This window comes from Homo sapiens, chromosome 2, assembly GCF_000001405.40.
Source record: "Homo sapiens chromosome 2, GRCh38.p14 Primary Assembly".
NCBI lineage: Eukaryota > Metazoa > Chordata > Mammalia > Primates > Hominidae > Homo > Homo sapiens.
The window spans coordinates 126,182,606-126,192,851 of record NC_000002.12 but is presented as its reverse complement, the minus strand read 5'-3'; the positions used below and the strand labels follow the sequence as shown (position 1 = coordinate 126,192,851).

The 10,246-nt window shown below is 41.2% G+C and overlaps 1 annotated feature.

Moving 5' to 3' along the window:
* Positions 9,132-9,677: an enhancer, noted in NCBI's record as "H3K27ac-H3K4me1 hESC enhancer chr2:126940752-126941297 (GRCh37/hg19 assembly coordinates)". NCBI's record gives its function as "activates a minimal SCP1, AML or CMV promoter by ChIP-STARR-seq in naive and primed H9 embryonic stem cells {active_cell/tissue: H9 hESC(naive and primed)}" and the evidence as "EXISTENCE:reporter gene assay evidence [ECO:0000049][PMID:30033119]".

The window sequence follows — 10,246 nt, the reverse complement described above, 5'->3', positions numbered from 1 at the left end:
CCAGGCTCCCTCTTCAAACTGTAGAGAATGTCAGTGACCACAGGAATAAGGTAGAGAATAAGATTCTGACTTCAGGTGTCAGGCTCTGTGGGACCTTGGGAAAGTCAGATACATGTTTGTCTGGTTTTTTTTTCTCTATAGAAAGGGAACAAATAATAGAAAATATTTAGTAAGTTTGTTGTAAGGATTAAATAAAATAATTGTAAAGCACATAGCGTAGCACCTGGTACATAATGAAAATTCAACAAACATTAATTGCAATGATGATATTGGTAGTGGTGGTAGTGGTGGTGGTGATAGTGATGATAATGACTCTCTTTGAAACTAAACCTCATTGGTGTTGTTTACAATGTGAACTGATATAGCTGAGGAGGTATCATATGAACTTCTCAGCGTTCAGAATACATTAAAAGGTACATCTCACTTTCTAGACTCCTTCTTTTGAGATTTTACTAAGCATTTCTTAATGCCACCTGCCCCAAACAAATCACTATATCCCTATGAGGCATTGAAACAGTATATACAAGTTGTGTGTGATCAGAAAATTATAATATTAACATAGGGACAGAAATCAGGCTTCCACTTAGTACAATGAAGCTGATTCCAAGGCAGTTTACTATGGTTTGGCCATGTGCCCATTTCTGCCTTCTGATCCCTGTGTTTAATTGGAAGGGATTTATCCATTTGTTGGTTTGGCCTGCTATGGACTGGACTCTGTCATCTTTTTTTTCCCCATCCAACCATCTTTATATTGAGTCTTACTGTGACCTGCTATAGAAAAGTTATGCTGTGACTTGTAGCACCCCTTCTCTTTTCCTTCAGGACTAATATAAATTATTACTCTGTCATATTTAAGCAGCAGCATGAGGAGCTGGAGTTACATGTTGGAGCAAACAAAAATGCCCAGTGACGTAGGTTGAAAATATTTAAATAACCTGAGGTACCTGGGATCTTGTTTCTAGGCATTATGGATGGTCTTTGATAATATACAGCTGTGAGCATTCAATTTTCCACAACATCCCATAGTAGCACATCCCTAGCACATTGCTAACCCATTTCATAATTAAGCTTTTGCTTCTTGCTCCTTGGCCCACAAGACACTATTATAGAAATATATAAACATGGTTATAGAAATAAAAGCAGGGATTTATTGTTGTTATTGCCCACACTTCCCAGTAAAAGCTATAATATATGGTGTGGTAATCCATTTTATTGGTACACCATGTCAAATGAAATTGCTAGTGCGTAGAGAAATTGAGAGGCCTGAGAATGCGTATGTGTAAACATTCTTCTAGCAGCCAAATTTTTGCAAATGGAGAACCAATGGTAAGGAAAGACAGAATAAAACAACTACTTCATAAGCCAAGTTGGACATAGATTTAAGAAAGTATAATTCTCAGTAGTATCTATGAATACCAAGATGGCTTCTGCATACAGAAATTGGTCTGTATCATTCTTTGAGGATGAGAAATCTAAAACCATGATTCTAATGATTTTAAATTTTTTAATAACTGGAATTAAGTTGCCAGTTTTGTTATTCGGTCACATGAATATTTTTTTAAATAATCAGATCTACCATCTGTTATCATCACTGTTTCATAATCAAAACAGTGACTTATCAAAAAGAATTTTAAAAAAACATTGAAAGTCCTTTATATGTTTATTGGCCACTTGTATGTCTTCTTCACTAATTATCAGAGAAAGCCAAATCAAAACCACAATGAGATACCATCTCACACCAGCCAAAATGGCTGTTATTAAAAAGTCAAAAACAAAAAACAAAAAACAAAAAAACAGATGCTGGAGTTGCTTTGGAGAAAAGGGAAGGCTTATTCACTTTTAGTGGAAATATAAATTACTTCAACCATTGTGAAACGCAATTTGGAGTATATATCCAGAAAAAAGAAAATTGTTCTACCAAAAAAACAACCGTACTAGTATATTGATCACAGTGCAATTCACAATACCAAAGATAAGAAATCAATTTAGGTGTCTATCAATGGTGGACTGGATAAAGAATATGTGGTACACATACACCATAGAATACTGCCCAGCCTTAAAAATGTAATGAAATCATGTCCTTTGTAGCAACATGGATGCAGACTGAGGCCATTATCTTAAGCAGATTAACAAAGGAACAGAAAATGAAATATCACATGCTCTCACTTATAAGTGGGAGCTAAACACTGTTTACTCATGGACATAAAAATGGGAGCAGACATTGGGGAGAGATGGAGGCAGGCAGGGGCTGAAAAACTACCTACTGGGTTCGATCCTCACTACCTGGGTGGCAGGATCATTTGTACCCCAAACCTCAGCATCACACAACAAACTCATGTAACAAACCTTCACATGTACCTCCCAAACCTAAAATAAAAGCTGAAATTAAAAAGAAAATAGAAAATCCTTCAAATAGATTACATGGAACTACTTGAAAAACTCATGATGTTGTCCTTATGTTTTTAATTTTGCTATAGTTGTAAAAGTTTTTGCCAGACTTGCACTACTCCACAGGGCAACATTTGAAATTCATGACACTTATGTTGGTGCCTGTATGTCACCAAGAGTCAGGGGTTTATATTCTTCTCATTCATGACTCTTGGTGAGATTAATTTCTACCCCTGGCTCCATAGGCAGTCATGGAACTGGTATGTATTCAGCAGGGCACTGCTCAAGATGAGGTTTTCAAAGTTCTGTGCTAGCAGGAAGACCCTTCTAGACTTACTAGCACATGCATGCTCTTAGCACAGAGGATGCCTCTGAGGGGTGAGCCACCAGTGAGGCCAATCAAGGGGACACTCAATACTTGACAAAGCAGAACCCCATTGTTTGCTATGGCATCTATATTTCACAGTGCACTCAAAAGCAGCTTTTTATTTAGCAATTTTGGGGGGACTCCATTGCTTTATATTACAGCTACTCAGTACCTGGCATAATACAAGCTCATACTATCATTTTTCAAGCCATTAAATGTTAACTTCATTTGCTTATATGAATTATGCTTTGCTCTTTTAGTTTTGTAATGAAAAATAAGTACAGGTTATGCAAGCAATAACCCCTGTGTACGCAGCAGCTATCTTTCTAAACGGTTTATTATGCCACAGTCTGGTACTCCATTAAATATAGATTACAGACTGTTGAATAAATGAATATCAACTAAGCTTCCCCGTCCTTCTGTACATATCAAGGCAAATAATGAATTGTGGCATCTCATGAAAATGGAAAACTAAGAAGAGTGGGTCAAGAAGTAATTACACATTTGTCTTATCTCATGCTTCTTGCCCTCAAAACAGCTGAATACATCATGTGGCGGAGGGGATGGTGCAAAGATACATCTGATCTGTTATTATCAGTAAAAGCATGCCCTCTACTCTTGTTTTCTTTCTCTTCACAAATTTTTATGTGGGAGGGGCCACCTTGGACCTAGTATTCACTTCTGTTTACTTTCACCAAGCTCTATGAATTAAGACCTGAAAGCTTCATCATAGCTCTTTGAAAAGAGAAAATGTTGTCATGTAATTATCCCTGTCTTGCACTTGGTGCTTGGGTAAGCACTTGCCTCTCTTCACCCATATTGAAATTGGAAACTTCTGAGCCAGAGAAAATAGGACAATGCCATGGCCCAAAAATGAACGGACATTTCTATTCCTTCTCTTCTTCTCTGACTTGAGACTGGTCGCTTCAGTCAGCCTTCCTTCTAGAGGTCTGCGGCCCTTATGAATTCACTCACATTTTAAAGGATGCTTATTTTACAGGAATAAAAAATAAGGAAGAATTTGCCTTCTGGAAGTTAATACCTTGAGTGGCAGGGTAGCGCAGAAGGTGTCTCTTAGTTTACACTTTGAGAGGATAAACAGTGATGCAAATCAATTCTAGTTTTCAGTGCAAGGATTACTTCTACTGAAGAGCAACGTAGGTGGTTTTGGTAGTTTAAATACCAAAACGTGCTTCTTAACAGGATTGCTTTATATTTAATCTCATATCTTCCTGCTCCTTCTAGAACGTCATTCTTTCAAGTCCAGTTTTATCTGTTCATTTCCACTTGGCCCTTCACTTCTGCTTTCAAGCATGTTAGGTTTCTTCACTATTTAAGGAAAAAACAAGGACCTCACCAGTGTTATCCTTTCATCCTTATCTTACCAAAATCCTTAAAGGAGCTTAAAGGAGTAATTTTTTTCCTCTCTGTCCACTCACTGCTCCTTAATCCAGTGTAGTTTACCTTTTTGCTTCTTCCTTTCCTCCCAAACTGCTCCCTCAAAAGTCACCTGTAGCTGCTTGGCCTTTCTATAACACTCAATATTATTAACTTCCCTTCTGATTATTGAAACTTTCTTCTTCATTGACTTTTGATTCACTCTGCTGTCTTATTTGGACAGCCAACATTCCTATTCTTTTTTCTTTTTTCACTGATATTATTTCCTTTTTAAAATCTCTAAAATATTACTAATATGCAAGGTTTTGTCTTTAAATTCTCTTCCTCTTTTTTTTAAGGTTAAGCATTTTATTCATATCTTCTGGGAAGGAAGTTTTCTTCCTATTCTTTCTCTCCGGGACAGGCAGACTCCTCCCTCTCCTGTGGCCTCTTGACACCTCACTTGTCTGTTTCTCAAACTAGATAGCTACAGCCTCTTGCATCTTTTCAGCCGCACTGCCTGCTGCATGGCACATTTTCAGTAAGTATGTGGAATATGTGGATGAGTAAAAGGGTATGCTGAATTGTTGTCAATAACAAAGTAAGTTTTAGTGCTTAATAAACAGTTTTTCAGATAGACTAAATTGTCCTAACAATAAAAGTGTTAAAAACAATAATAAGAGTGATATCTGTGGTCCGGGCCACATCTGGGGGTGGCATGCCTGCTATTTGGTTGTCAGAAATGGCAAAGGGGAATAAGCCTCCAAGAGAGACTTCAGAGTAGCAAAAAGAATGTAACAGGATTCTGGGAGAGATTCTTTCCTATTGACTCAGAACTGTAGCTGAGACCTAAATCTTGTAGCTGAAAGAGGATCATTGCCTGTTGCGTGGTGAGTAAATACACCAAGACACCACAGGTTGCAGCAGAGAAAGAATCTAATAATCATAGGGCAGCTGAATGAGGAGATGAGAGGAAATGTCAACTCTGCCTCCCAGAGAGGTTTGGCGATGGGGTTTTTAAGGGGTGTGGGGATGAGTGATGGACCAAAGCGTAAGGATTACTGATTGGTCAAGAAGTGAGGGGTGATATCCTGGGACAGGAAGACGAAGAAAGCGCATTCCTTTGCTATGTCAGTTCCTTGGTGGGCATCTTTGATTGGTGGGCATCACTTATTTTACTGGAATTCAAGATCTGAAAAACTCAGTAAGCAATTCTTGGGTAACAAGGTCCAGTGTCAGAGAGTCTATTTATAGGAACAATGGGTGAGGAGGTGGTCAGCCTGCTATACAACTCTCAGTTAGCAGCTGCAGGGAAGTGGGTTGAAATGCGCCAGCCCACCCTGTTCAGTGCCTATCTACAATTCTGCAGAAAGCCTGAGGTGTAATTCCTGTTTACCCTGTGAAGGGGGTTTCAATCTGAGGGTAAAAGGCATTAGGGACTCCATACTTGAGGTTTATAAATATTCACACAGTTAGAAACAGCCCCTATGGAACAGAAAAAAGAAAGCACTGATGCAATTTTCCCTCAAAAAGGGCATCTTTTCCTCTTCAATGCCAAAGAGTGAGCTGGCATAAGAACTACTCATAAAGTAATTAAGAGACTGACAACTTTTGGAGAGACATTTATATAGTGATGGACTTCCTAATCTGTGCTATCTCAGCAGGGAAAATAACATTGCTGATTGGTAGGAGGGCTAAGGAGAGCACCTGTGGCACAGATGTAGCCATGTTCTTTGCTGTGCCAGCAGCTTCCCAGGAGTTTAGTGGTCACTGCAGAAGTTAGTTAAGCAGGTAGCCCAACCAGAAGAGTTACTTTTCAGCAGAAGGGAACCAGAATGGAACACCACTGTGGGAACTTAGGAAGTAGTGGAGTAGGTGAGTCCATGACTAGATCTCATGATCAGACCGTGGAATTGGTCCCTGCAAGAAGCTCCAAAGAACCTTTGCCTGTCCCCTGTGAGGGAGCCAGCTTGGCTGCTTGCCATCTAGTATTAGCCAGTGAATTCCTGTTGGTTAAGAAGGAGAGAACTCACACTCACTCAAGTAAGAAGACATGCCATTTCCTGCTTTAAAGCTTCCCGCTTTAATATACCTGAGTAGTTTCTCTGCTGCAACCTGTGCATCTGAGGGAGTGAGGAGGATAGAAGGGTAAAGAGGTTATTCTGCAACCCATCCCTCATCTACTCCAGGAGACTGCACTGCAGAACAGCTGAGCCTAACCTGGGGCTGCAATTAGGGCAGGTAAAGAAGTAAAGGGCTTTCAATTGTGCTTGAGAGTAACACTTTCAACAGAGCAGAAGTGAGTCTAAGTATTGAAATGAGGCTTTTTCAAAAGCCAAGAGTAACTGAGAAGTTATAGAATCTGGCCAAGATGTCATTAAGGTATCCATTTTCTACCAAGAAAGAGGGGACAAGTGGTGAAGAGTGGTGGTTTATACCTCCACAGCCTGAGACCCTTGCAACATGGTTGCATGAAGCCTACAACTATAGAGGGGACACATGGAGAGACCACTCTGTATTTTGAAGACAAATCCAGGGACAGACCAAGGTGCTGCCAGGGGGAAGGCCAACACAACCGTTGCCCGGAGACGTCACAATATAATCTCTAAGAGTCTGGCTTTCTGCTTCAAAAATGTGGCCAGTTCACTTTTATTTATTTATTTTTATTATTATTTCAGAAGTCTTTTTATGTCGTAGAGGAAACTAGACCTTGGGAACACTGATTCATGCTAACCCAACTCATAAGAGAATGATACGTGAGACAGAATGTGCATCTGTTTATTAACAATATAGCATTTTATTTCGGGAATCATAGGGGTCTGGACTCTGAGACCTAACCAGATAAATCAGTTACACAAGTGGTCCGATTGTTAAAAACTGCCTTAAAATCATGACCTCAGGATACGGCGGATAAGCTAAATATTGGAGGTATCTGATGACATCAGACCCTGAAACCCTGCCACATGCAGTACCACAATAATAGAGGACTGAGTGCTACCTGCTTTGTGCGCCCAAAAAGCCATGCTTCGGAACTATGGGTTCCTCTCCACAAGACGGCCTTGAGATGGATATTCTAGGGTTGGTCTCTGTGACTCTTACCAAGCTTCAAATACTGAGAACTTCGGTGATTGAGTCATATACTTGCTAATTCAGCCACACTACATTTCTTTTTATTTTATTTATTTATTTTTTTTGAGACAGAGTCTCACACTGTTGCCCAGGGGTGTGATCTTGGCTCACTGCAAACTCCGCCTTCCAGGTTCAAGCAATTTTCCTGTCTCAACCTCCCAAGTAGCTGAGATTACAAGCATGCAACACCACACCTGGCTAATTTTTGTATTTTTAGTAGAGACAGGATGTCACCATGATGATCAGGCTGGTCTCGAACTCCTGATCTCAAGTGATTCGCCTGCCTAGGCCTCCCAAAGTGCTGGGATTACAGGCGTGAGCCATGGCACCCGGCCTCTGCTACGCTACATTTCTGAGCAACTCCTACATGCCAGAAAGTATGCCAGATGCTGAGGACTGTAATTTAGTGGTATGTCCACTGGTCAGAGAAAAACGTTAAACAAATTAAATTTAACGGGATTTAATTGAGCAGGGAACGATTTGCAAATCAGGCAGCTCTCAGAACTGGAAAACAATCAGAGAGCTGCTCTCTGCAGAGTGAGCAGGCAGTGTTTATGGACAGGAAACTGAAGTGAGGCACAGAAACAGCTTGATTGGTTATGCTTCTGCAGTTGCCCTATTTGGACATGATGTGATCAGTTGGCAGCCTGTGATGGGCTGAAGTTTGTTGTGTGATTGGCTGAGACTCAGCTACTTCTTACAGGAATATACTGCAAACTTAGGCTTTCTGTTAGTTTAGGTAGGAGGCTAGGTTGCAGTTTTTTAAGTAGGAACTCAAAGTGCATGGGCATTTTTTGGCCAAATTTAGTTTAATTTATCACCACCCATACCATAGCTCAAGAGAAAAGCTCAAGTGGTGCTATTTCCCCAACCTCGGTCAAAAGGCAACTACAGGGTAGGTGGGAGGGGAGCTCTTCAAGGGTGATGCATTGATAGGTGGAAGAATGTACATTCGAGCATCCTCAAAGCTGAAGCCGTTTTCCAACAATCCATAGTGCTTTCACCCAACCACATCTCATCTCCTGTTAGAGGATAACATGCCCTTTGCTTTCCTTCTTGGGCCATTTTTCCCAGCAATTTCCCCTTGAAAATAAAGATATATGTCTCAATAGCCAAAAGAGAAAGAATCTCTTGGGTATGAGTAGAAGAGAGAAGAGTTTCATCAAGAAGCAGTAAGAGAACCTGCCTTAAACACACATCTCTCTCTCTCTCTCTCTCTCTATATATATATAACATACATATATAGGTGTTCTTCCCCTAAATGCAAGATAAATATATTCTAAATATATATAAATAAATTTATATTATATTTTTTATGTTAAAATACATGTAAATATATATGAAGTATATATATTCAGAATATATACATATTATCTTGCATTTAGAAAATAGAAACTATAAACATAATATGAAAGCCATAAGACATTCATTTACTTCCTTATTTCATTCTCTGTTAATAATGATAATAATAATGGTAGTAGTTGCAGTAGCAACAGCAAAGTGTTATAAATTGCTTATTGTGGAATGAGGGAGGAGCCAAGATGGCCGAATAGGAACAGCTCTGGTCTACAGCTCCCAGCGTGAGCGACGCAGAAGACGGGTGATTTCTGCATTTCCATCTGAGGTACCGGGTTCATCTCACTAGGGAGTGCCAGACAGTGGGCGCAGGCCAGTGTGTGTGCGCACCGTGCGTGAGCCGAAGCAGGGCGAGGCATTGCCTCACCTGGGAAGCTCAAGGGGTCAGGGAGTTCCCTTTCCGAGTCAAAGAAAGGGGTGACGGACGCACCTGGAAAATCGGGTCACTCCCACCCGAATATTGCGCTTTTCAGACCGGCTTAAGAAACGGCGCACCACGAGACGATATCCCACACCTGGCTGAGAGGGTCCTACGCCCACGGAATCTCGCTGATTGCTAGCACAGCAGTCTGAGATCAAACTGCAAGGCGGCAACGAGGCTGTGGGAGGGGCGCCCGCCATTGCCCAGGCTTGCTTAGGTAAACAAAGCAGCCGGGAAGCTCGAACTGGGTGGAGCCCACCACAGCTCAAGGAGGCCTGCCTGCCTCTGTAGGCTACACCTCTGGGGGCAGGGCACAGACAAACAAAAAGACAGCAGTAACCTCTGCAGACTTAAGTGTCCCTGTCTGACAGCTTTGAAGAGAGCAGTGGTTCTCCCAGCACACAGCTGGAGATCTGAGAACGGGCAGACTGCCTCCTCAAGTGGGTCCCTGACCCCTGACCCCCGAGCACCCTAACTGGGAGGCACCCCCCCAGCAGGGGCACACTGACACCTCACACGGCAGGGTATTCCAACGGACCTGCAGCTGAGGGTCCTGTCTGTTAGAAGGAAAACTAACAATCAGAAAGGACATCTACACCGAAAACCCATCTGTACATCACCATCATCAAAGACCAAAAGTAGATAAAACCACAAAGATGGGGAAAAAACAGAACAGAAAAACTGGAAACTCTAAAACGCAGAGCGCCTCTCCTCCTCCAAAGGAACGCAGTTCCTCACCAGCAACAGAACAAAGCTGGATGGAGAATGATTTTGACGAGCTGAGAGAAGAAGGCTTCAGACGATCAAATTACTCTGAGCTACGGGAGGACATTCAAACCAAAGGCAAAGAAGTTGAAAACTTTGAAAAAAATTTAGAAGAATGTATAACTAGAATAACCAATACAGAGAAGTGCTTAAAGGAGCTGATGGAGCTGAAAACCAAGGCTCGAGAACTACGTGAAGAATGCAGAAGCCTCAGGAGCCGATGCGATCAACTGGAAGAAAGGGTATCAGCAATGGAAGATGAAATGAATGAAATGAAGCGAGAAGGGAAGTTTAGAGAAAAAAGAATAAAAAGAAATGAGCAAAGCCTCCAAGAAATATGGGACTATGTGAAAAGACCAAATCTACGTCTGATTGGTGTACCTGAAAGTGATGTGGAGAATGGAACCAAGTTGGAAAACACTCTGCAGGATATTATCCAGGAG